The sequence below is a fragment of the Homo sapiens genome, chromosome 1, assembly GCF_000001405.40.
Source record: "Homo sapiens chromosome 1, GRCh38.p14 Primary Assembly".
NCBI lineage: Eukaryota > Metazoa > Chordata > Mammalia > Primates > Hominidae > Homo > Homo sapiens.
Genome location: NC_000001.11, coordinates 228448499 through 228474824, shown reverse-complemented (window position 1 = coordinate 228474824; position 26326 = coordinate 228448499). Strand labels below are relative to the sequence as shown.

At 48.3% G+C, this 26326-nt stretch overlaps 2 protein-coding genes, 1 non-coding gene and 2 pseudogenes across 3 annotated transcripts, besides 5 other annotated features; 3 read left to right on the top strand and 2 right to left on the bottom strand.

Annotated features, from left to right (window-relative positions):
* Nucleotides 3464-3974: an enhancer, noted in NCBI's record as "H3K27ac-H3K4me1 hESC enhancer chr1:228658552-228659062 (GRCh37/hg19 assembly coordinates)". NCBI's record gives its function as "activates a minimal SCP1, AML or CMV promoter by ChIP-STARR-seq in naive H9 embryonic stem cells {active_cell/tissue: H9 hESC(naive)}" and the evidence as "EXISTENCE:reporter gene assay evidence [ECO:0000049][PMID:30033119]".
* On the top strand, nucleotides 10250-10655 carry H2BC27P (H2B clustered histone 27, pseudogene; annotated as a pseudogene).
* MIR4666A (microRNA 4666a) lies at nucleotides 12673-12751 on the bottom strand. Its single transcript, NR_039812.1, has one exon. It is a non-coding gene; the product is annotated as a microRNA 4666a (primary transcript).
* Nucleotides 15526-15575: an enhancer, noted in NCBI's record as "active region_2695". NCBI's record gives its function as "activates an Ori minimal core promoter by ATAC-STARR-seq in GM12878 lymphoblastoid cells {active_cell/tissue: GM12878}" and the evidence as "EXISTENCE:reporter gene assay evidence [ECO:0000049][PMID:35858748]".
* Nucleotides 15657-16242: an enhancer, noted in NCBI's record as "H3K27ac hESC enhancer chr1:228646284-228646869 (GRCh37/hg19 assembly coordinates)". NCBI's record gives its function as "activates a minimal SCP1, AML or CMV promoter by ChIP-STARR-seq in naive H9 embryonic stem cells {active_cell/tissue: H9 hESC(naive)}" and the evidence as "EXISTENCE:reporter gene assay evidence [ECO:0000049][PMID:30033119]".
* Nucleotides 16243-16829: an enhancer, noted in NCBI's record as "H3K27ac hESC enhancer chr1:228645697-228646283 (GRCh37/hg19 assembly coordinates)". NCBI's record gives its function as "activates a minimal SCP1, AML or CMV promoter by ChIP-STARR-seq in naive H9 embryonic stem cells {active_cell/tissue: H9 hESC(naive)}" and the evidence as "EXISTENCE:reporter gene assay evidence [ECO:0000049][PMID:30033119]".
* H2BC26 (H2B clustered histone 26) lies at nucleotides 16267-16722 on the bottom strand. Its single transcript, NM_175055.3, has one exon. It carries the CDS (start codon nucleotides 16693-16695, stop codon nucleotides 16315-16317), a length of 381 nt encoding a protein of 126 aa, NP_778225.1. The 5' UTR covers nucleotides 16696-16722; the 3' UTR covers nucleotides 16267-16314.
* On the top strand, nucleotides 16952-17461 carry H2AC25 (H2A clustered histone 25). The gene has a single exon (NM_033445.3). The coding sequence runs from the start codon at nucleotides 17008-17010 to the stop codon at nucleotides 17398-17400; it is 393 nt and encodes a 130-aa protein (NP_254280.1). The 5' UTR covers nucleotides 16952-17007; the 3' UTR covers nucleotides 17401-17461.
* Nucleotides 22085-22849: an enhancer, noted in NCBI's record as "H3K27ac-H3K4me1 hESC enhancer chr1:228639677-228640441 (GRCh37/hg19 assembly coordinates)". NCBI's record gives its function as "activates a minimal SCP1, AML or CMV promoter by ChIP-STARR-seq in naive and primed H9 embryonic stem cells {active_cell/tissue: H9 hESC(naive and primed)}" and the evidence as "EXISTENCE:reporter gene assay evidence [ECO:0000049][PMID:30033119]".
* Nucleotides 25190-25712, top strand: RPL23AP15 (ribosomal protein L23a pseudogene 15; annotated as a pseudogene).

Sequence of the window (26326 nt, the reverse complement as noted above, 5' to 3'; positions counted from 1 at the left end):
CCAAGGTTAGGTACCCAGAGCCTGCTGGGCTTATTCAAACCAGCCATTGTGAGCTAGCTTAGTCTGCCTTGCCTGCTCCTTCCAGTGAAAGCCACAGTAAAGGCTCCTGCCCACACTTTCCCCTCCCTCCATCTGCCTCTTAACTGACCCTGGCGCTATCCCTCGTGGCATCGAAGGCTTAGCAATAGCAAACCCCTCCTCTTGGGAACTGTGAGTAATAAACTATCTTTTCAATGGTGTTTGTCTCCTGATCTGTTGGCCTCACTGTACCTGAGTAATTTTTTTTTTAATTTTTTATTTTTATTTTTATTTTTTTTGAGATGGAGTCTAGCTCTCTCTCCCACTCTGGAGGGCAGTGGCACGATCTCAGCTCACTGCAAGCTCCTGGGCTCACACCATTCTCCTGCCTCAGCCTCCCGAGTAGTTGGGACTACAGGCGCCCACCACCATGCCCAGCTAATTTTTTGTATTTTTTAGCAGAGACGGGATTTCATCGTGTTAGCCAGGATGGTCTCGATCTCCTGACCTCGTGATCCACCCACCTCAGCCTCCCAAAGTGCTGGGATTACAGGTGTGAGCCACCGTGCCCGGCCTTTAATTCTATTTTTAAAAAGTGAGAGGAGGCCCAGAAGAAGAGATGGCAGGGAGTCCTGGCTGGGCTGCAGGATTAGGATTGTGGGTGGGGCATCCAGGGACCATGTACATAGTGAGGGCTTACACAATAGAGATGTGACCAGGTGCTGGAATTTCTCAGTGCCCCAATGCAGAAACATGAACTGGTTGGAGGGAGACCAAGTGCCAGGGAGGAAGTTCCTAGGCCAGATGGGGGACTCATCTAGAATGCCTGCCCGTGTGTGAGCAGCACCATGGTGCTGAGCTAGGGAGAGAAGTGTGGCCATTGACTAGAAATGGAGAAGAGTGAGATGACACCACCAGGGTTTCTATGTGGTGTGCGTCCCTTGGAGTGGAGAGCTGGGGTGAGAAGGTGAGTTCAGTTTTGTAGAAGATTCAGCTTGAGGCTGGAGCCTTTGAGGAGTGTTTTTAAATCTCACTGGGGGCCGGACACGGTGGCTCACACCTGTAATCCCAGGACTTTGGGAGGCCAAGGCAGGAGGATCACTTGAGGTCAGGAGTTCGAGACCAGCCCCCTGAGGATGTAGAGTAAGAAATGTTAGGTAGGTGTGTGGATATCAGAACCACATTTTGGGAAACCCTCTCCCCAAAAATTGTATAGCCCATAAGGAGGAATTTAGGGAAGTTGTTACTACAGGTGGGGACAGGGTGGTGTTAGAAGCTAGACAGGAAGAACAGGAGGGAAAAGCATTCAGAAAGCACTTGTGTAATTGGATGCACAGCTCTCCCTTGGACAAGGCAGCGTGGGTTAAGGGTGCTGACCCCTGTCCAGTTGAAAATCCAAGTATAACTTTTTTTTGAGTTGGGGTCTCACTCTGTCGCCCATACTGGAGTGTAATCACAGCTCACTGCAGCCTCGAACTCCTGAGCCCAAGCAGTCTTCCCACATCAGTCTCTCAAATAGCTGGAACCACAGGCCTGAGCCACCATGGCCAGGTAAATTTTGTATTTTTTATTTTTTTGTGCAGATGTGATCTTGCTATGTTGCCCAGGCTGGTCTCAAACTCCTGGCCTCAAGCAATCCTCCCACTTTGGCCTCCCAAAATGTTGGGATTACAGGCGTGAGCCATGGTGCCTGGCCTTCACATATAATTTGACTCCCCCAAAACTTAACTACTAATAGGCTACTGTTGGAAGCCTTACCAATAACATAAGCAGTCGATTGAGGCAAATTTTGAATGTTCTATATATTACATACTGTGTCCTTACAATACGGTAAGCTAGAGGAAAGAAAATGTTATTAAGAAAGTCCTAAGAAAGAGAACATGTAGTTACTATTCATGAAAAGGAAGTGAATCATCATAAAGGTCATCCTCGTGGTCTTCACACTGAGAGGCTGCAGAGGAGGAGGAAGGAGAGGAGGGCTTCATCTCGCTGTCTCAGGGATAGGGGTAGCAAAGGCTGGAGAAAAGCGGTGTATCGGTAACCCTCAAAGGTCAAACTCTGGTTGCTCAAGGGTCAGCTGTACAGTTGAGAACCCATGCAGGTGTAGGCACAGGGTAGATAAACGGTTAAAATAGCAAACCAAACAGGCCACAGCCCTCCTGCTAGAGAAAGTATAGGAGTTTCTTACTTTTCTGGAAGGAAGAATTTTTTGATTACGTGTTAGAATTTATTTGATGGTCCAGCACATTAATGACATCATGTAGGGGGAAAATACCCTCCACCCCATCAATTCTTAGTTGAAACTGACCCCTGTTATAAAAGACACATTAGCAAGAGGCACAAATAGCAGCTTACTAGCAGCTACCTTTCCTAGATACATGCGTGGCCCCCAGAGAATGGGTAGTCCTCAAAGAGGTGGCTTTGAATTCCCGCTTTTATGGTATCTTCAACAAAGAACAGTAAATCTGCAGAGAAGTGACAAGATAAGAGAGATGAACTTTGAGTCTCTAGGAACAGCAACTTGGAGAAAGGCACATAAAGGACACATGAAGTCTAGTTAGTAGCCCTTGCTAATGCAGATCCCCTGGTAGCATCTCCAGTCAATAAAGGTGCAAAGTTGTCTTCAGTGCTAACCTCCCTTCTCCCTGGTGAAGTGGGGTGGGGGCTGGATGCCTTCTGTAAATCCATGTCCTGCTTTTAGCCACCCAGAGGGAGGGCAGTGAGCTCTCCTGTATACTTTCTTCTCCATTGCCCTGAGCCCAACAATCCCTCATCTTGCAGGAGGCATATTCTGCTCTTCCACTGGAACAAAATGCCCCCTAGGGGTGACTTAAGAAGACAGCAGGGTGCAGAATCTGAGGCTACAAAACAAGACTAGAAGACTTGGCTGGGGAGTCCAGTCTAGACTCAGGTTAGCTTTTTTTTTTTTTTTTGGAGGCAGTATCTTGCTTTGTCACCTACGCTGGACTGCAATGGCACGATCACAGCTCACTGCAGCCCCCTACTCCCAAGCTCAAGCGATGGCCCCGCCTCATCCTCCCAAGTAGCTGGGGGACGATAGGCGCAGGCCACCACGCCCGTTAACTTTTTAAATTTTTTTGTAGAGACGAGGTCTCGCTATGTCGTGTCACCCAAGCTGGTTTTGAACTCCTGGCCCCAAGTGATCCTCCAGCCTCCTTTGGAGGACACAGATGGACAGGGACCCGGTGGCCAGCCCATTTTCCCATCCCGGCCTGGGAAAGAAGCGTCAAATGCACTCGGGAAAATAACCCACTTCACCTAGTTAATGTCTTGGGCGGTTCTGGGAAAAGCGTTTCTGCGCAGTCCAGAGACCTGGACCTTCATCTCCAGCCTGCGCCCCACGGAGGCGGCACCGGAGCCGGCTTCCTTAGGTGTGTTGGTGACGTGCTGGGCGGGTCTGGCGGACCAGCCTCGCACCTCCTCGGGCGCAACGCGAGTGGGTTCCGTCTTGGGTTCCTGCGCGAAGGGGCAGCCCAGGCTCAGGGCATGCGGCGCCAGGGTGCTCTGCTTCACGAATGCCGGGGTACCGCAGTGCTGGGGTGCCGGACGCAAGGGTGTCAGATGGGGTGCTGCTGGGATTATAAGGGTCACCAGTTGCAGGGATGCTGGGGGTGCTGGGGTTACAGGGGTGTGGGGGCAGAGGATATGAATGCAGGGGTGCAGTGGTACCCGAGTGCAGAAGTGCAGGGGTGCCGGGAGCAGAGTTGTCAAATGGTGTGGTGCTGAGTTCACAGGGGTGCCAGGGATAGAGGGAAGCCCCGGCACCAGAGTGCAGGAGTGTTGGGATGCTGGGGCTGCAGGGGTGCCGGGGAAGATGGGTACGCAGTGCAGGGGTGCCGCGGTGCTGTGACGCCCCAATACTGAGGGGTGCAGTATCCAGTTGGTTCTAAATTCATTCTCACCCGCCTCACACCACAAACCAATTGGCTGATGCGCCTTCTCGAGCTTTCCAAAGCCACCCTTCATTCCGCTGCCTCTCTGCGACCCTCGGTTTTATTTCTGAGTTTGGAATTTGTTGTATTTCATGCACGTTTGCGCCTTAATGTTTTCTCCCCAATCTTTGCATGTCACCAAGATTTCTCGACCCCCGTGTGGCACAGGGATGAGGCTGCTTCGGGGTTTACAGGGTGGAGGAGGCCGGCTTGCGTGTTCCTCAGGGTAAATCGGGGATCAGTCCAGCTCCCCTCCCCACCCATCCCCCGGAGCCCCTCCCCCAACTCCTGCTCCCCTCCCCGCCACCCTCCCCCACCCCCCTTCCTCCCCGCATACTTCTTGTCTCCCATCTGAGAGCCCCTCCCCTCCCAACCCGCCCCACCCCGGTATCCCCCACTTGCCCACCTCCTCCTGCACTCCCCCTGCACCCCTCCTAGCCCACCGTAGGGCACCCCTCCCCGCACACTCCCCGGCTCTCCCTTCCCTGGTGGAAACCACCTCTCCTGGTTAAATAATAAATATTTATTATTTATTATTTATTACATAAAATTCCCTTATGTCTTGTGATAGGTACGTTGCCGGTTTCCATATCTTCTCCAAATGCTGCTTGAAGCCACCAGCTTCGCAGTCAGCAGCCCGTAAGATATTTAATTGCAGTACGTAAGAAGAGAAATCTGTGGTATAATATTAGCTTGGGGAAGGGAGATCACTGGCCTTGAAGAGCTTTTCGCCAAAAGCTACTGTAGGGCAGGAGCTGCTTCGCTGGGTGGACAGGGCCACCAAAGGCCGCCGTTCAGGTTACCCCAAACCTGCTGCTCAGGGAGCACGCCTCGGGTTCCCAGGCTGGTGCCCTCGCCCGGGCCTGCCTCTGTTTCACTGATTGGCTTTCATGCTCCTGCTTTGCTTCTGCATCCACACCACCTGTCGCTGGCATTTGCAGCTCTTTTCTAAGTGCTGAAATGCAATGGAAATGAGCACAAAAGCTGCTCCTGCGGACGTGGGCGCTGGGAATCAGCCGGTGTGCCTCCTCGACTTGGTCAGAGGGCCTGCCCTCTTGGGCATCAGGTCCCCGGGGGCACCGGCCTTTGTCCCCCGTGCTCCGAGCGCTGGGCTGGGGAGCTCCCAGGTGCTGGCCCGGCGCAACCCGGTGCCTTTAAGCAGGGTGGGGGCGCGCCGGGAGGAGGTTGCTCTCAGGCGCCCCAGGAGTCGCCCCTGATGGAAACGCGCCTTGGCTGTGGCAGGAGGGCCTTTGTCCATAGGATGTCAACTGGAAGCCCTGAGAAGCGCAAGGCTGCCCAAACCCTTTTTTCCTTCTTTGCAATCCTGCAAGCATTACGGGAGGCCCCAATGTTCCCTGCAGAACTCCATAGCACACCCTGTCATTTCAGCCACTCCCAGTTCCTCCGCTTTAAATCGTACAAGGTTCCCTCTAGTCCTTGAGAAGCCTGGAAGCCTGTCCTCTCTGTATCTGTAGGGTGCTGTCCCTCACACAGATCCCACTCTACCGGTGGGGTCTGGATGGAGCATGTGCATTTGCCATTGCAACGTGCAATTTTATTAAATGCTTAAAAAAATAGAGACAGGGGTCTCGCTATGTTTGCTAGGCTGGTCTTAAACTCCTGGACTCAAGGGATCCTCCTGCTTGGGTCTCTCAAAGTGCTAGGATTACAGGCCTGAGCCACCGTGCTGCACCTGTATTAAATGCTTGTTTGTAAGACTTAAAGGGACCTGGCTTCTTGGCTGGTGGGGAAAGCGCTCACTGCAGGAAGCCCTCATCCTAGTAGAGAAGCATACATCATCTAGAGCTGCACAAAAATCTAAGGTGTAAAGATGGACTGATTTCATGCATTCAGTTATTCATTCAACACATTTGTGGACTGGCTTCCAGCCCAAGTACTGTACTCTAGAACGATTAAAGAAGTGCGGGGGGCAGGGGGGAGGTGTTTATTATTTTTCTTAATCATCTAAACCTGGTCACTAAGCTAGAGGCCACTGTTTCTTTTTCTTTTTTCTTTCTCTTTCCCTGTCCTTCCCTCCCTCCGTCTCCCCAACTGTCCCTCTTCTTTCTTTACTTCCTTCTTTCTTTCTTTTCCTTCCTTCCCTCTCTTCTTTTTTCCTTCTTTTCTTCACATGAGGAAAGCTTCAAGTTTACTCCATAGTGTCCGTCTGCCAATACATCATGTTGGTCTTGATCCGAGACACTGTCTCAATTGGCTCAGGCTGTTCTAACAAAATGCTACAGAAGGGGAGACTTAAACAACAGAAATTTATCAAAGTCTTTGGGGGAAAAGAGACCTGTGTGGGAAACATAGAAAAACCCTGTCTCTACAAAAAAAAAAAAAATTAGCCAGGCATGGTGGCACGTACCTATAGTCCCAGCTACTTGGGAGGCTGAGATAGGAGGATTGCTTGAACCCAGGAGTTTGAGGCTGCAGTGAGCTATGAATCACACCACTGCACTCTGGCCTGGGCAACAGAGCAAGACCCTGTCTCAAAAAAAAAACACACACACACACACACACACACACAAAAGACATTTAATACAAACTGCACATTACAGTTACATAACACATACATTTTGTGTCGTTATTTTCCCCCAAAGAGTGCTGATTATCCAAGGCTAGTAGTCTGAGATCAGGGTGTCAGCAGGGTTGGGTTTTGTGAGGTCATTCTTACTGGTTTGCACCTAGCCATCTTCTCCCTGTGTCCTCACATGGTGCTAGAAAGCGATATCCTAAAATGAAGACCTCTGAAGCAAAAAACTTTCTCTGATCTCCTGCCTTCCTGTCTCAGTCCCATTCTCCCCCAGACTGGCCATAGAAACTAGAATACCTCTTCCCCAAGGCAGGTCATAAAAACCGCAACCCCTTTTCCCCACAGCCAGACACAAATCCTAAAAATATTACTCTAACTCCTGCCTTTCTGTGCAAATGCTGACCATAAATTCTCTGGGCCACCTTGTCTGGTTGTACGTCATAAGACTCCCATTCCACAGAGGGTCCTGTCTCATACCCAAGAGGAAGGAATGCCACGCAGAGAGGCCAAGAAGAATCTAGACAGACAGGGCTTGCTGGATGTCCCCACTCAGTGTATTAGCAGTAGATCATGCCCAATCCTATTTCTACATAGCAGTCCATATTTTGTTGAACCTAAGCATTAAAATAGACAGCTTCTTCTGTATTCATTCTGAAGGCTTTTTTGTCACACTAAACTATGATCAAATAAATGTGTATGCCTTTTCTCTTTTAATCTGTCTTTTGTCAGCTGATTTTTAGTGAATCTTCAGAGGGCAATAGGAAAGTTTTTCCTTGGGCCCTGCAGCAGAGAGAAAGAGAAAAGCAAGCTGTCTTGTGTCTCTTCTTATAAGGGCATGAATCCTACCATGCCACTCCACCCTCATGACATAATCATCCCCCAAAGGCCCCACCTTCTAACACCATCACCCTGGGGATGGGGGTTTTCAACCTAGAAATTTGGAGGGAACGCAGACATTGAGTCCCTAGCAATCACCACCCATGAGAACCAGGACTGATTTCCTGACACCACCAAGCAGCCACCATATGGTGGGCAGAGCAAATCCTAAATCTTAGTACCTGAAAGACATATTCTTACCCAAAGTCCTTAGAATGCCCACCTCCTGTCCCACTCCAAGTTTTGTTTCAAACCTTTCCACACCAGTAGGAAGCCAGGAAGCCTTAGTAAGAACCTGGTGGGAAGACCAGCATCTCACTGGGCTGGCAGGACCAAGGCAAGCAGTGCTATATATGTACATATATTAACGTTTGTTAAACCATGGTGAGGAAGGCTTCATTCAGGACGGTGGAGTAGGATTAGGACCATTGCAGTGGGATTCTGCAGCAGGGTAGAGAGATTGGGCTCAATTCTGAGTACCGCACTGACAAGTGGAAATTTATAGACAGGAGTAGGGTAGATTAGTGGATAGAACAGTATTAAGAGGAGACATCAGGGCCAAGTACGGTGGCTCATGCCTGTAATCCTAACACTTTGGGAGGCTGAGGAGGGTGGATCACTTGAGGTCAGCAGTTTGAGACCAGCCTGGCCAATATGGCAAAACCCTGTCTCCACTAAAAATACAAAACTTAGCCTAGCATGGTCAGGCATGCCTGTAATCCCAGCTACTCAGGAGGCTGAGGCAGGAAAATCATTTGAACCCGGGAGGTGGACGTTGCAGTGAACTGAGATTGTGCTACTGGGCAACAGAGCAAGATTCCATCTCAAAAAGAAGAAGAAGAAGAAGAAGAAGAAGAAGAAGAAGAAGAAGAAGAAGAAGAAGAAGAAGAAGAAGAAGAAGAAGAAGAAGAAGAAGACATCAGGTGTGAGGGGGATTCTGGGTAAACGAACCTCACATGGCTCTTGCTGGAGGCAGGCAGGGTGATCAGATATCACCTGGGGATGGAGGATGAGGAACCCCATCAGATAGCACAGAGGGCGATCAGATATTCAGAATCAGGGGTTCTAGTTAAACTGACTTAGCGGGGCTCTTCCTAAAACTGGATTTCACAAGAAAGTGCACAGATGGACCCAGGAGGAGGTTCTGGAGCCTGACCAGAGTTTGGCCAAGCAGAGAATCTTTGTCAAAGGGCTGTTTGAGAACTAAATTGAATCAAGTATTTATTAAGTGGTTACCTAGCCAGCTCTTAGTGAGCACTCTAGAAATGCTTGGTAAATCAACCACATATTTCAAAAGGAAGCAGATAAAGTGCTTAATGCTGGGTATGCCCAAAGCCATTCAGGGAACCCACAGTCTCAAGATGCCCAGAAGACCTCAGAGGACAGACTTGAATGTAGAGGGTACTGCCTCAGCTCACAGGCTTATTCACAAGCAGATACTGACTGGGCCCCTGCTGGTGCCACACTCTGTGCTCTGGAGCCTCAGACATGAAAGCCACATCCTTCCCTGTGAGTTAAGCTTAGTCAGCATGCTAGTGGGAGAGAAAGGTTTGTGCTACATATTTACGTGATGGATCTGCCCGGGGCATAGAGCAGGCTCTGCTGAGGTAGCCCAAGCTGCTTATGGCTGGATCAGTCCTAAGAAGGAAAGGCGCTAACAGGAATTAAGCACAAAATAGATGCTGGGCACCCTGCCCGCTGCTTCACACTCATTAATGCTCAGCAACGCTATCAGGCGGGCACTGGCAGCCTTATTTCACAGATGAGTATATGGAGGTGTGGAGAGGTAAATTATCTGCCCCAGCTAGGGCAGATAAATGACCTCCGGACTAGGGCTTCTCAAATCGTCAAGTGCACACAAGTCTATTTAAAATGCAAATTCTAACTCAATCAGATAGGAGTGGGCCTGAGATTCTGCTTTTTTAACCAGCTCTTCAGTTGAAGCTGAAATACACAACACCTTACGTTTCTTCATTGGGAATTAATAGAATGGCGGGGAGAGGGGCGCAGCTCGGAGACAGTGCCTTCTATAAGCCTGCGCTCTGACGGAGTTAGAGCAATCACAGTACCCACCTCTCGGGGATACCGGGAAACAAATGAGATCGCCCATAGCAATCCCTTTGCATTACGGCTGTCACTTCGAAGGGGTTTGGGGAGACCTTAAAAACAATAGGAAAGACTAAGTTTCATTTGAAACCCATTCAATTTCTCCAGTTAAAACTCTGCCTCATGACAATTCCAATTGAAGTACCTTAGCATGTTTTCTGTACTATTTTCTGTATTTCCTAACGAACCGTTTGGATTTACAATTGAATTCTGAGAAGAATGCATCTCTTTGATCTTTGGAGGAATGGAGGGAAGGGCAAGAAACGAAGGGTTAAGGTCGTTGCAAACTGCCATTCCCACCGCCACCTCCCCTTCTAAATAAGCACTAACTACCCCTCCCTAGCTGTGGGCCTCAGAAAAAAAAAATGCCCCCATGTATGTGCCTCACAGCCAGAGAAGACCTCAATTTGGGGTTGCAACCGTTTTTCAGTTTCTCTTTAGCTACCTCCAGATCCGCTGCAGACACAAAAATCTCCAGGTTTAAAACAAAGGCTTTGAACAAAGATGCGCAACCTCAGCTCCGGCGCGCGGCGGATATGCCTTGGGATTGGTTGGACCGCCGTCCAATAGGAAAGAAGAACCGGACTCTGCTATTTACAGAAATTCCTCCCAGTGGCGGCCGCGGAGTCAGGCCGTCCAATCAGACACTACAAATTTGGAGCCTTAATTTGAATATAAAGATGGCAAATAGCCCTGCCGGCCCCGCATCCGCGTTCGTCTAGGCGCTCTTGTCACCTCGCCATGCCGGAGCCATCGCGGGCGGCTCCGGCTTCTAAAAAGGGCTCCAAGAAGGCCATTACCAAGGCGCAGAAGAAGGACGGCAAGAAGCGCAAGCGCGGCCGCAAGGAGAGCTATTCTATCTACGTGTACAAGGTGCTGAAGCAGGTGCACCCCGACACCGGCATCTCGTCCAAGGCCATGGGCATCATGAACTCCTTCGTCAATGACATCTTCGAGCGCATCGCCAGCGAGGCCTCCCGCCTGGCGCACTACAAACAAGCGCTCCACCATCACGTCCCGCGAAGTGCAGACGGCCGTGCGCCTGCTGCTGCCCGGCGAGCTGGCCAAGCACGCCGTGTCCGAGGGCACTAAGGCTGTCACCAAGTACACCAGCTCCAAGTGAGGTGCGTCCCGGCGCCCCGAACCCAAAGGCTCTTTTCAGAGCCACCTCCAAGCTCCAAAAGGAGCGTGCCACCTGGTCTGGTTGTGACCTGTGATTCAATTGGAGTAATGAGGGAAAGTAGACTGAGCCGTGGGGGCGCAAGTCTTAGAGACAAAATTAGGCTTCTTGTTTGTAACGGCATATTTCCCTTAGAAAGGCTGCGTTCGTCTTGTGTTGGCCACAGGCAAAGTCAGAGAGGGGGCAGTACAGGCGATTGCGCCATGGATCCCATCCAAAGATCTGTGTGTGGCTTACGCCCTGCGCGCGAGGAGCGTGGGTCACCTCCGGGAAGATCTTGTGCCACGTCCCCGCCCCCAGTGCCTCCTGGCGGCTGAGACTGGAGGACGTGCTCACTGAGGTCCGGGGTTGGAGGTGAGGGGGTTATCGCGCCGTCTGGGCGGAGGCGCTTGGGTCCGTTCTTCTCCCGCCCCTTTCCTCCCTCCTTAGCCACAACTAGACACTGTGAGCTTCTAGCCAAAACCATTTCAGCAGCGTTGCGCCTAAGCAGCTCTTTATGCCACGCCTTCCTGCTTGAAACATCAAAACAGCAGGCTCACAGATCTCCTTATCACTCAGCTAAAATTTCCCCAATTAAGGGATTCTCGTATTTTACCCCCAAAATGTGTGTGTGTGTGTGTGTACGCATATTACACAGTGAAAGATTATTTTGAATAATGCAAATATAGTGCTTTTTAAAAAAAACTCCAGCAAATCATAGGAAAAATAAGTATGATCTCTGGATGACACATTAAAAACTAAGGCATGCAGGCCTGACTGGGGCCCAGGCTGTCCTCCCCCTAAAAATACCCCATACCGGTGACACCCCAACCACGAATACCTGAGAGCTACCCACCCTCTAAGCAAAAACGTTGCCTGGAATTAGAATTCGGTTTCCAGGCTCAGTTCCCACTGGTAGAAGATGCACTCTACCCAGGCTCAGTTCCCACTGCACACTCCCAACACAATGACAGCCACGCATTTATCAACATTTAACCTCTCTGGCCTCATAAAGTAAATCCATTTTCTTGGGTTAGTTTCTTCTTAAAGGGAGTTTTCTTTCCTCCAAATTCTTTTTGTAAATAGGCTTTATTTTTTAGAGCACTTTTTCAGAGCAATATGCTTTTTTATTAGTAGTACGTAATAGTTGTACATATTTGGGGGGTACAAATATTTTGATATACGCATAGGCTTAACAATCAAACCAGGGCAACTGGGACATCCGTCATCATATTCACACCCTCTTTAGGTCGAGATCATTCCAATTCCTCTCCTCCAGCAATACAACTAATTATTGTTAACTACAGTCACCCTACTTTTCTAACCAATACTAGATGTTACCATTTCTTCTAAGCATATTTTTGTACCCATTAATCAACTTCATCTCCTCCTTTCCCCACCACTCTTCCCAGCTTCTGGTAACCAGCAATCAACTTTCTACCTCCATGAGATGCATGTTCTTAGCTCCCACGTATGAGTGAGATCATGCAGTATTTGTCTTTCTGTGCCTGATTTGTTTTACTTAACATAATGTCCTCCAGTTCCATCCATGTTGCTGATGACGGGATTTCATTTTTTTTAATGGCCAAATAGTATTCGAATGTGTAAATGTACCACATATTCTTTATCCATATATCTACTGATGGGCACTAAGGTTGACTTTCTATCTTGGCTATTATAAATAGTGCTGCAATGAACATGAGACCGCAGACATCTCTTTGATATACTGATTTCCTTTCTTTTGGATATATACCCAGCAATGGGGTTGCTGGATCATATGGTAAGTCTGTTTTTAGTTTTTTAAAGAATGCCCATATTTGTCTCTATAGTGGCTGTACTGATTTACATTCTTACCAGCAGTGTACAAGCATCCCCTTTCCCTGCGTTCTCACCAACATTTGTTATTTTTTGTTTTTTAATCAAAGTTGGTTTAATTGGAGATGATTCCTTCCAAATTATTTTATTTACTGCATAATAATTAGCAAATCTGACTTGAAATTTCCATCTGAGATGGGTGAGGGGCAATCTCTTAAATACATGTCAGATTGTATGCCAGTCTGGAGGGATTTTGTAGGCATACAATCTGACATGTATTTAAGTGATTGTCACTCACCCATCTCAGATAGGTGAGATGAAGCTTAGTTTAAAAATTTGGCTTAGTTTAAGAATCTTGGCATGTCTCTCCAACCCAGAAAATGCTTCCATTTTGTTGAGTGAGTCCTAATTCCCTTAGTCTCTGTGGATTCTCACATATTTGATGTGCACTGCCTTCATTTATCATTAACATTTGTCTTTCTCTGTTGTAACACTATAATTAGAGAAATGGGTTCTGGACACGATTGCTCTGAATTTTCTCCATTATAAAATCTTAGTAGCAAGGATCCTGTTTTACCTTCTTTGCCTCTCCCTTAACAGATCCCTGTCCTAGGAGAGACGGACAAATCCCATTCATTCTGGGCCTGGGGGTGCTAATGTAGCAGGAAAAGACAGCCTGTTTCTACTTCAAGTTTGTGCCAGGGGAATCAGAAGGACTGAGACATGAATTGACTGACGTTTGACATTATCCATCACAAAATGCCTTCTTAGAGAATTACACTTGGAAAATGTCATGAAATGTTCATCTTGTGCCTTGATTTGATCTCTGGCACTAACCAGTGTTGTTGCCTTGTGCTAACACAATCATTCACTCTCTCTACTGGAGACTGGTTTCACTTTATTAAACCTATGTTTTAAGTTCATTAAGGTGGAGAACTATATGGGTCTGTGAGAGTAGTTTCACAGCTGCAAATGTTTAAGGTATTGACTTCCAATCCATGCTGGTAGGAGGCCGAGGGCTTGGATGTTCCAGTCATTGGGCACCTGTTTCATAGTGGAGAGGACTGGATTCAACAGCTTTTCATACAAATCCTATATTTCTTGACAGTACTAAGGGTGTTGACAAGTCCCACTTACTTTTGATGATGGATCACTGTTTAATATTTGGATTATAACTAGGGATGCAAAGAATTGAATAAAGTGCCTATGACAAAATTGTCATTCCTGTGTATTTTTTGTAAATTTTTTTTGGAGCATATATCAAAACAAAACAGAATGGAAATGACCCCGTGCACTGCTAGCATTGTAACCATATGGAAATGATCCCATGCTGTGCTAACACTGTAACAATATGAACACTGCATGTGTGCAGTCATTGAGGTGGAAAGGAGAGGAGAGAAGAGAGTGGGTGCACCATCCAGCTCATTAAGAGTCAGTTTCACTAAAAGTTTATCTGTTTGATAACATCAAATTATTTATGTTTTGAACAATTGTGTACTGTCGAGATGATTTTTCTTAACAGTGAGAGACTACCCAGAGGTATGCTTAAATTTCAATGTAGACTTTTTTGCAGAGAACAATAGACAAAACACTATTAAACATACAATAGATATATTATGGTAGGGTGAAATTGTAAGGCAAATGGAGAATGGAAATAGGCATTCAGGAGGAAAAAAATCATCTGAAACATCGCATTGACAAAGAAAAATTTGGTCATGTATTTTATGAATTGATTATACTATCATATTGATATTCCAAAAGGCACCTTGAGACTGATGTGAGAATTTTGATTTTTAAAAAGTTCCACGTTGGTATTTGTATCTTTGCAACTATTTTAATTGAAAATAAAAATATTTTAGATAGCTTTAAAACATGCGAGGTTCTCAAAGATTCTTGTAGAGGAATCACGCAGGAAAAAAAAGGTGGGGAATAGGGGACAAAGCCGTTTTGGTCGAGGATGTTCACGGTGACCTTTCTTTCCCCATCCCAGGCACGCGACGGGTTCCCTTTGGAGAAATGACTTGGGGGAAAAATATTTTTCATTGAATTTTATTTAAAAATTATTTCTCGGCCAGGAGAAGTGGCTCACGCCTGTAATCCCAGCACTTTGGGAGGCCGAGGAGGGTGGATCACGAGGTCAAGAGATCGAGACCATCCTGGCCAACATGGTGAAACCCCGTCTCTACTAAAAATTAAAAAAATTAGCTGGGCGTGGGTGGCGCACGCCTGTAGTCCCAGCTACTCGGGAGGCTGAGGCAGGAGAATCGCTTGAACCCGGGAGGCCGATGTTGCAGTGAGCAGAGATCGCGCCATTGCACTCCAGCCTGGGCGACAGAGCAAGACTCCGTCTCAAAAAAAAAAAAAATTATTTCTCATTTAACTTTATTGAATTTTTATTCCCTGCTGGAAATGGTGACACAAACGCTCAGTACTTCGAATTTTCACAACGGTTTGAGGAAGCAATTACTGGAAATCTTCTTTTTCTAAAGAAGAAAAGCCAAGTCATGAAAACGTAAACGATGCCCTTTCCAAAGTGAAAACTCTTCGTGCCAAAGAGCTTTCCTGCGCCAAAATGGCACTCCCCAAATAAATGCCGTGAATTTGGAGGGGGTAGGAAAGGAATTCTGCGTTGCTAACGCCTCGCAGAAAATAATGTGGCTAAAGAGGGAGGCAGCTACATTTGCTCAGAAAAAGGGAATTCTTTTCCTCCTAAATTAACCCCTTCCCCCACCCCCACTCCCATAAGGGTTAAAGTTACCGGCAGCTGGGGTCGCTTATTACATCCGGCTCCCCCGCGCAGGACGCTGCTTTGACGCCGTGCTTCGATTCGGTATCAAACATCCTGCCATCGCGGTATCCTGCCAGGAAAATATCCTCCCGGAATGTTCATTGCTTAAATCTAAACATGTCTGTCTGGTCCAGGCAGGGATGGAAAAGTCTTAAGCAAATGCAGAGCCAGGCACCACCGCCAGGGGAAAGTGACAACACCCATGGCCTCAGAGCCCGTGGTCTTGCGCCACGTCTGGCCTCGCCCATGGGGGGCGGGTAGGGTTGGGGAGGTTGGCACAGGGTCTTTTGGGGGGAGGTGACCCGCACTCCTCACCTGCACGGCGCACGCCAACCTCATTTGGACCCGGTCCTGAACCGGGCGCAAGCGCTCAACATCCAGGAATGCACCACTTGCTTATAAAAGACATTTGGGGCCAGGTGCGGTGGTTCACGCCTGTAATCCCAGCACTTTGGGAGGCAGAGGCGGATGGATCACCAGGTCAGAAGATCGAGACTATCCTGGCCAACATGGTGAAACCCCGTCTCTACTAAAAATACAAAAAATTAGCCAGGCGTGGTGGGGCGTGCCTGTAATCCCAGCTACTCGTAAGGCTGAGGCAGGAGAATCGCTTGAACCCAGGAGGCGGAGGTTGCAGTGAGCCCAGATTGCGCCACTGCACGCCAGCCTAGAGACAGAGCGAGACTTCTTCTAGAAAAAAAAAAAAAAAAAAAGAAAGAAAGAAAAAAAAAAGAAATCTCGTCGTGAGTTAATAGCTCTGCGCGGAGGGAGGGGATGGAGAGGGGGTCCTTGATCGCCTCCCAACATTACTGAGCTACATCACCTGAGCAGTTTCTACCCCGATTTCTGTAACGAGCAGTTTTTCTCGTTCTGTGCCGGCGCGCGCGCGCACACACACACACACACACACACACACACGGCTCAGATTCGGCCGCACCCGGCAACCGCTAGGGTGCATGGAGACACATTAGGTTACATAACCCTTCACCGTGTTCGAAACCCTTTCTTGATCGTGTGGGTGGCTCTGAAAAGAGCCTTTGGGTTCAGGACGCCGAGGAACGCCTCACTTGGAGCTGGTGTACTTGGTGACAGCCTTGGTGCCCTCGGACACGGCGTGCTTGGCCAGCTCGCCGGGCAGCAGCAGGCGAACGGCCGTCTGCACTTCGCGGGACGTGATGGTGGAGCGCTTGTTGTAGTGTGCCAGGCGGGAGGCCTCGCTGGCGATGCGCTCGAAGATGTCATTGACGAAGGAGTTCATGATGCCCATGGCCTTGGACGAGATGCCGGTGTCGGGGTGCACCTGCTTCAGCACCTTGTACACGTAGATAGAATAGCTCTCCTTGCGGCCGCGCTTGCGCTTCTTGCCGTCCTTCTTCTGTGCCTTGGTGACAGCCTTTTTAGAACCCTTCTTGGGCGCAGGAGCCGATTTGGACGGGTCTGGCATGATGGCTGAGTCTCTCCAAACAGAAACGCGCGGCGCTCGGAGTAACTCTATTTGTACGTTTTGTATTCAAATGAAGGCTCAGGATTTGCTCACTTCTGATTGGATCAAACGTTGTTCTACGTCATCGCTGGGAAAGGAATACGCAAATTAGGAGTGCCAGGTTCTTTTTCTGATTGGCTACCATAGCCATCCAATCGAACGCCGCGGTCTAGCCTACCTCTGTACCATACATAAGGGCTCGCTGGCCTTCACTGCCCTCTTGTTTTTAGTCTCGCTTTTCGGTTGCCGTTGTCTTTTTTCCTTGACTCGGAAATGTCCGGTCGTGGTAAGCAGGGTGGCAAGGCGCGCGCCAAGGCTAAGTCGCGCTCGTCGCGCGCGGGGCTGCAGTTCCCCGTGGGCCGCGTGCACCGGTTGCTCCGCAAGGGCAACTATTCGGAGCGCGTGGGCGCCGGCGCCCCGGTCTATCTGGCCGCGGTGCTCGAGTACTTGACTGCCGAGATCCTGGAGCTTGCCGGCAACGCGGCGCGCGACAACAAGAAGACGCGCATCATCCCGCGCCACCTGCAGCTGGCCATCCGCAACGACGAGGAGCTCAACAAGCTGCTGGGCCGCGTGACCATCGCGCAGGGTGGCGTCCTGCCCAACATCCAGGCCGTACTGCTGCCCAAGAAGACGGAGAGCCACCACAAGGCCAAGGGCAAGTGAGGCCGCCCGCCGCCCCCGGGGCCCCTTTGATGGACATAAAGGCTCTTTTCAGAGCCACCTACTATCTCGAGAAAAGAGCCGCACTGATCCTGCAGTTCTTTATAGGCCGGAGGCCTGATCACCCTAGGCTCATGAATGAGCGCAGTGGCCATGGGGAAGGGCGCAACGGGAACCGAGACCCTGGGGACTGATTGGGCTGCATACTTGCGAGGTGGGCAACGTGTTCTGTTAACAACAGGGAACCCTCGTCCACAGGTGGCCACCCCTTGCTCTTGAGTCCCACCCAAAACCTCTAGTAGGGTTTTAATAACGCTCACCGTAAAGGTGTCTTCATAATTACTAGTGACAAGTTCTCTTGACTCTAGCAAGGTTCCCGTGTGGTCATCAAGTACAGAATGCAATTTCTTAATGATTTATCTGATATTAAAAGTATTTATGATCTCTAAGTAGTTTGCACTTTAATTCTGAAGAGTAAGTCTATGGATTTCTATTTAAATTGCTAAGTTTTAACAATGTGAGCTCCACCAGTGTTAAGATTTAATTTATTTGGCTGGGAATTCTAAAGGTCATGAGGAAAGTTTCAGTACTTAAAAGGAACCAGATTAGTAGATGCTGAAAGGTATAAACCTTTTAAGAAGACTTAATTTGGAATAGGATAATTATTTAAAGGAATTTAGTTTGTTTAATTCGGGTTGGTCAAACATTAATCAAAGATCCCCTTAAATTGATTGCTAAAATTGGAGAACAAAATAATTTGTACACTGTTTTTGAAAAGGAAAACTAAATTTGCGAGTTAAGCAAATTTAAAATGAGTATTGTTAGAACCAGATGAATGATGATACATGTGGACTTTAGGAAAATAACGGTTTGTAACTACATTTTTCCTTATAAAATGGAGGGTTTAAGAGCGTCGGAGACCTCCAGGCAAATTAACTGAAATGGCTGTGTTAATAGCCCCTAAATCCTGGAGGAGAGAGGTTCATTGATTTAATCCACGATAATCCCTTAAAAAATGTTTGCCACAAAATCAGAGCTCAGAAAGTGTTATTCTTCTGTTGTTATCTGTACAGTTTTCATTAATCTATTTCTCAAAATATGGATAATTCCTACTTTGTTTTTATTTTTTCTTTAATCCCCAAAGTGCTAGTATTTAGTTAATTGACACCTAACAATTGCATATTATATGGGGTACATAGTGATACTTTGAATACATTTATTATCAGATCAGGGTAATTAGCAATTATTAAGTATTTATTGTAATAATAAATACAGGCCAGTAAAATTATTCAGGAATATTATATAATTTATATTTACCCTACTAAAATTGGGTCTACTCAAGTCAGGGCTTCCTGGACACCAGCTAACCACAAATCTGCATGTCTTTAGAAAATATCCCAGTGCTATGAAACTATTTGAACCAAAAATTGGTAAGCAGCTGCTCCAACAGTGTGGATCTAAACAGCACAATATTCACAGTGTGTATCACGAGTGGGCACCATTTCAGTAAAACAAAACTGCAAGGACTGGCCAGGAGAGGGTGTAGCCTTCCAGAGATCTTTTCATTATTTTTCTTGTGAAAGCCTTCATTTTCAGTTGAAATTTATCTTTATGTATTTATATCTATGTAGGTCACTCTATCTCTTCAAATACCCTTTAGTGGTATTTAAGGTTTTTGCAGGGTCTGGGGACTTAGGTGTTTCAACTATCACCATGGATTTCCAGATTTTGTAAAAGGTGCTCAAATGGGGTGAAGGGGGAGGCAGCGTGGTGGGAGGGCTACTTTGGGGTAGCACTGCATTTGTTATCTCTGAGGCTATGGTGTTTCACAGACAGTAACGAGCCACACAAGCTATTTAATTTTCAGATAATTAAAATTTAATACAAAGATGTAGTTCCTCAGTCACCCTAACCACATGTAGCCAGTGGATGCCATGTTAGCACAGATACAGAATGTTTCCAGCATCACAGAAAGTTGCACTGGACAGCTCTGGTCTAAGATCTGGTTCTTTATCGGGTTATCTGATTCAGAAATGTAGTAAATTATCCAGTGCTGCCTGCTTTGGTAAGAGAAAACTCATTAGACTCTTTTCTTATTTTTTATTTTTTTAAGACAAAGCCATGCCCTGTGTCCCAGGCTGGAGTGCAGTGGCGTGATCTCGGCTCACTGGAACTTCTGCCTACCGGGTTCAAGTGATTCTTCTGCCTCAGCCTCCCAAGTAGCTGGGATTACAGGTGCCTGCCACCATGCCGAGCTATTTTTTTTTTTTGAGATGGAATTTAGCATTGTAGCCCAGGCTGGAGCGCAGTGGCGTGATCTCGGTGCAGTGGCGCCATCTCAGCTCACTGCAACCTCTGCCTCCAGGGTTCAAGCAATTCTCCTGTCTCAGCCTCCCGAGTAGCTGGGACTACAGGCGACTGCCACTATGCCCGGCTAATTTTTGTATTTTTAGTAGAGACAGGGTTTCACCACCTTGTTGGTCAGACTGGTCAACAACTCCTGACCTCAGGTGACCGACCCACCTTGGCCTTCCAAAGTGCTGGGATTACAGGTGTGAGCCACCGCGCCCGGCCACCCAGCTAATTTTTGTATTTTTAGTAGAGACGGGGTTTCCCCACATTGGCCAGGCTGGTCTCGAACTCCTGACCTCAAGTGATCTGCCCGCCTTGGCCTCCCAAAGTGCTGAGATTACAGGCATGAGCCTGTAATGAAGCACCCAGCTTCATTAGACTCTCGCATAAAGAAGATATCACCGTATGGCCGTGCAATTCCAGTCCTAGGTATACATACCCAAGAGAAATGAAAATACACATTTATTCACAAACATGTACACAAATGCTCATGGCAGCATTCTTCATGAAATACAGAAGGTAGAAACAACCCAAATGTCCATCAACTGAGGAATGGGTAGGCAGATTGGGATCTATCCAATTACAATGAAATATTATTCAGTCATTCAAAAGGAATGAAGCACTGACATGCTACTACAGGGTGAACCTTGACAGCATGCTCAGTGAGATAAGCCAGATACAAAGGCCACAGATTGTCTGAGTCCACTGATACGAAATGTCCAAAACAGGCAAATCCACAGGGACTGAAGGCAGACTGGTGGCTGCCAGGGGCTGGAGGAGAGGAGTGCCTGCCTAGTGGGGACAGGTCTTCCTTTAGGGGTGATGAGGATGGTCTGGAACTAGACAAAGGTGGTAACTGCACAACATTGTGAATGTACTAAATGCACCTGAATTGTGTACTTTAAAATGGTACATTGTGTGTCATGTGATTTTCACCGCTCGATTTTTTTAAAAATCTGAACCTAATACACGAATGTGTAGCAAATCATCACCGTAACCAGGAGAACAAGAAGGAAAGGCAAGAAAGCCTGGGGTCCCAGAAGGGCTATGAGGAGGGTAGACCAGATGCCCAAGAGGAGAGAGGCCCATCCTAGTGCTTTTCAGGATGCCACTGGCCTACCCCAGGTATAAAGAGGGGGAGCAGGGACTGCCCTTGGTGCAGCAGCAGCCATCACTTGGGGACCTTGTGGAGAGAAGAGGGCCCTCTTGGTGGCTGTGGGCAACTCATCTCTGCAGGGCTGGCTGTCTGTCCTGTGGATGCATCGTGACTTTTCCCTGCCTGTTGCATTCCCCGCCCGCTGCATTCCCAACATGCACCCACCTTCACTGGAAGTTTGCTCATCACACTTCACACATCCCTATGGGCAGGCACTTTATGGAGGAGGAAGAGAAAAGGAGATATGTCCCAGGAGGAGAATGCAGCTGAAGCCAGCCTCAGGAGTAACCCACAGAGAGAGCTTGCAGTTTTGCAGAACTCTCGGCTTGGCTCAGCTTTGTCCCGCATCCCTCTCCTCCTCTCTCCTGACTGTGGGTCTCTCCCCAGCCCCAGCTGGTCAGTTCCCACATGCTCAACACCAAAATGCTCGAGTCTTCCAATTGAAAAACGAAAACGAAACAAAAAAAACAACCACCCTCTTCCCTGCAATTTCTTCCTCTCCTGAGATGCTGCATTGAAGCGTTTGTGATGCCAGTCCTTCAGGGAAGCAGTTTTGGGTATCTGCTCTGACCCCTGTCCAGTGTGGGTCGTGCTGAACTCGTCCTCATTGTCCCTGTCTGTGTGTTATCCTGTCCCACAGAGGCCCCGACTCTGATCACCAGAGCAGGTCTTGGGCCTGCCTGGAAGAGTCTCTAGTTTCCTGCATGCCGCTCACCAAGTGTCAGGGGCAGTGGGATGCTGGCCACATCTGTCCCACCACTGCCTGGTGGCAGCTGCTTCTGTGCAGGCGGCTGGGGATGCCAAGTCCATGGCAACACCTGGCTTCCAGACCCTGGACCCAGCAGCCACCCCTCGTGGAGCTGCCTTTGGGCCCCAGGCCACCTTTGTTGCCCAGTGGGCTGTGCTCTCAGCCCACCCATGGCCCTGAGTGGGCCCTGCTGGTCACCTGCTGGCCAGGCCCTTCTAGGTGTCTCCTGCCAAGATAACAAACCAGCCCAAAGCATTGTGGCTGGTGGGCCTGTGGGGCCGGGGTGGGAGCCAGGCTTCCTGGACAGCAGGTGTCTGGTGAACAGGCTAGACCTGGCTCCTGGACATTCGCCACCCACTGAGGGCCAGTGGAGGGTCAGGAGGGTTCAGGGAGGGGTTCAGCTGGTGAGTCAGGGAAGGGTCAGTGGAGGGTCAGGAGGGATCAGGGATGAGTCAGCTGATGGGTCGGGGGGGTCAGCCAGAAGGTCAGGGATGGGTTAGCTGGTGAGTCAGGAAGGGGTCAGTGGAAGGTCAGGAGGGGTCAGGGTTGGGTCAGGGAGGAGGCATGAGGGGTCACCCAAAGGGTCAGGAGGGGTCAGCTGGTAGGTCAGGGAGGGTTAGGAGGGGTCACCAGTGACTCAGCAGTGGGTTGGTGGTGGGGCCAAGGCCCCCTGGGGCCTCGCCTGGAAGCTGCTCACTGTACCTCAGGCCGCACGCTGGGAGTCACAGCAAGTCAGCAGGCCAACCTGGTGTGGTGTGCTGAGGGACAGCTCCAAGACCGTGTGTGCCAGGGCGGGGGGTACCTCTCACCACTCACCACAGGTCCTGCGGCCTCCACCCTGACACTTCCTTTTTCCCATGAGCTCATCCAAACCACGACTTGAGTGACCACAAACCATGGACTGTGGACATTTCCCAGAGCTCCAGGCTAATACTCACCCTCTTGATACTTGCACCTGTTCAAGGGGCCTGACTTCACCCTGCAGAGAATCCCACAGAAGGTTCTCCATGCCCCAGCCCCAACCGAACACTGAGACTTCCCCCAGTCATCCCCAGCCCAGGAATGGCTCCATCCTTCTTTGGTCACTCAGTTAAGTAAAATAGACAAACGAAAGTTGCCCATGCAGGCTGCTGTAACAAAATACCACAGCCTGGGAAAGTTACAGACAACAGGGTTTAGGGCTCGCAGCTCTGGAGGCTGGAGTACAAGATCCAGAGGTAAGTCATAAGTAGAGCTTGTGGGCCTCAAAGGCAGAGGCGGTTGCGGGACCAAAATACTGAATATGCAGGAGACAGTGAGTAAACAGAAGGCCTCAGGGCACTAAACATTGATGATTGCTAAGTATATAAGCACCACTTAATATGCATGATCATTAAATATACAACAGAAAGGCACTAAGTATTCATAGTCATAAAATATACCAGAGACACTAAATATTCAGGATCACTAAATACATAGGAGGATATAAATATTAATGATCACGAAATAGGCCGGGGCGGTGGCTCACACCTGTAATCCTAGCACTTTGGGAGGCCGAGGCGGGCGGGTCACGAGGTCAGCAGATCGAGATCGTGCCATCCTGGCGAACACGGTGAAACCCCATCTCTATTAAAAATACAAAAAAATTAGCCAGGTGTGCTGGTGGGTACCTGTAGTCCCAGCTACTCAGAAGGCTGAGGCAGGAGAATGGCATGAACCCGGCGGGCAGAGCTTGCAGTGAGCAGAGATCATGCCACTGCACTCCAGCCCGGGTGACAGAGCGAGACTCAATCTCAAAAAAAAAATGTGTATATATATATATATATATATATATATATATATATATACATACACACACACATATATATACCAGAGACACTAAATATTCAGGATCACTAAACGCATAGGAGGAACTAAATACTAATGATCACAAAATATACAAGAAGCACTAAATATTCAGGATCACTAAATATATTAGAGACGTTGAAAATCCAGGATTGATAAATGTATGAGAGGCACTAAGTGTTCATGATCACTAGGTATACAAAGTGCACATAAATATTCATGGTGACTAGGTGTACAAGACGCACTAAATATTCATGATCACTGACTATACAAGAAGCACTAAATATTCAGGATTGCTAAATTTATGAGAGGTACTGAATACTTATGACCACTATAGATACAAGATGCAGTACGTGTTAGATGTTAATGATCCCTAAGTATACAAGAGGCACTAAATATTAAGATAAATAAACATGAGGCTTAGGTATCTAGGATGACTAGATATGCAAGAGGCACTAAATATTCAGGACAACGCTAAGTATACAATAGGCACTGAATATTCAGGATACGCTAAACAGGCCTGGCTCATTTGAGGCACTCCCGTTGGGATCACCATTCCAGCCCACCTTTCTCTGCAGCGTGGCCAGGACATCCTGTGTCTCAGTGGCCACACCTGCGTGCCATTGCCCGGCACTCTTGCTCTCGCACCTGAGGCCTGGTCTTCGTAAGTAGGACTTTATCCTGGGAAAAGTCTGACAGCAGAGAGAGACAACACCTATGGACACGTGCACCCAGGATGGAGGGGTGGAGAGGGGTAAGTTGACTCACCTAGTGTAGGTGTGACACTCTTACTCTAAAATTGTCTGTGAGCCCTTCCATGCCACGACCTGTAGCTTCAAGGTGACTTTTCACGAGTCCTCCGGGCACAGCAGCTGTTGGAGGTGACCCCAAGGCAAGGGAGCCCAGACACACTGCTTTCCATCCAATCACCACTTTACCTCCCTTCGTGGCACTGAGTGGGTGACTGTCACGTCACTCCCGCCACAAGCCGAGCTCTGGGAAGGCAGGAGAAACCCCGCCTGGCTGCATTCTCAAGGACACCTGCACAGTGGATCACTACAACCAGTGGGACCGTCCCTGAAGGTGTGCGGGGCAGCATGCTTGTGCATGATAGACTTGCCATCATCACATTTTTTTTTTCGAGACAGCGTCTCAATTTGTTGCCGAGACTGGAGTGCAGTGCAGTGGCAACAATCACAGCTCACTGCTGTCTCAACCTCAAGCAATCCTCCCACCTCAGCCTCCTGAGTAGCTGGGACTACAGGCAGGCTCCCCAAACCTGGGTAGTTTTTTGTATTTTGTAGAGACAGTGGTTTCACCATATTGCCCAGGCTGGTCTCCAACACCTGTGCTCATGCATTCCTCCCGCCTTGGCCTCCCAATTACAGGCATGAGCCATTGTGCCTGGCCCTATCATCACAGTTATAAAACTATCACATTTCCAGCCCCAGGAGCTTTACCCACACAGTCTCAAAGCCCTTGCTTCTTGGAAAACCCCCAGAGGCCTCACAGGGCCCTACAAAGAAAAGCCCCACGCTCTTTGTTGTTGAGAATGCTTTACTGGTCCCTTTTTATTTTTTCCCAGCTTTATTGAGGTACTGTTACCGGAAAGGGGTCTCGATCCAGACCCCAAGAGAGGGTTCTTGGATCTCATACAAGAAAGAATTCAGGGCAAATCCATAAAGTGAAAGCAAGTTTATTAAGAAAGTAAAGGAGCTTTTCACAAGATGGCACTGAAAGCGAAGAAGGAAACTCCTGCCCTTCCTAAAGCCGAAGCCAAAGCAAAGGCTTTGAAGGCCAAGAAGGCAGTGTTGAAAGGTGTCCATAGCCACACACAAAAAAAGAAGATCCGCATGTCACCCACCTTCTGGTGGCCCAAGACACTGTGACTCCGGAGGCAGCCCAAATATCCTGGGCAAATTGTCCCCAACAAGCTTGACCACTGTGCTATCATCAAGTTTCCACTAACCACTGAGTCTGCCATGAAGAAGATAGAAGACAGCAACACACTTGTGATCACTGTGGATGTTAAAGCCAAGAAGCACCAGATCAAACAGGCTGTGAAGAAGCTCTGTGACATTAATGTGGCCAAGGTCAACACCCTGATCAGCCTGATGGAGAGCATATGTTCAACTGGCTCCTGATTACAGTGCTTTGGATGTTACCAACAAAATTGGGATCATCTAAACTGAGTCCAGCTGGCTAATTCTAAATATATGCATATATTTTCACCATTAAAAAAAAAAGGAAGAAAGTGAAGGGATAAAAGAATGGCTACTCCATAGGCAGAGCAGCTCTGAGGGCTACTGGTTGGCCACTTTTATGGTCATTTCTTGATTATATGCTAAACAAGGGGTGAATTATTCATGCGTTTCCCAGGAAAGGGGTGAGCAATTCTTGGACCTGAGGGTTCCTTCCCTTTATAGACCATATAGGGTAACTTCCTGATGTTTCCATGGCATTTGTAAATTGTCATGATGCTGTTGGGAGTATCTTTTACTTATAATTAATGATAATTAATGTATTATAATGAGCAGTGAGGACGACCAGAGGTCACATTAGTCGCCATCTTGGTTTTGGTGGGATTTGGCTGCCTTCTTTACCGCGTGCTGTTTCATTAGCAAGGTCTTTGTGACCTATATCTTGTGCCGACCTCCTATCTCATCCTGTAACTTAGAATGCCTAACCTCCTGGGAATGCAGTCCAGCAGGTCTCAGCCTTATTTTACCCAGCCCCTATTCAAGATGGAGTTGCTCTAACTCAAATGCCTCTGACAGTATGATCTACAAATAAAGCTCGTACATATTCAAGGTGCACAGCATGATGTCTTGGTACATGTCACGTGGTGA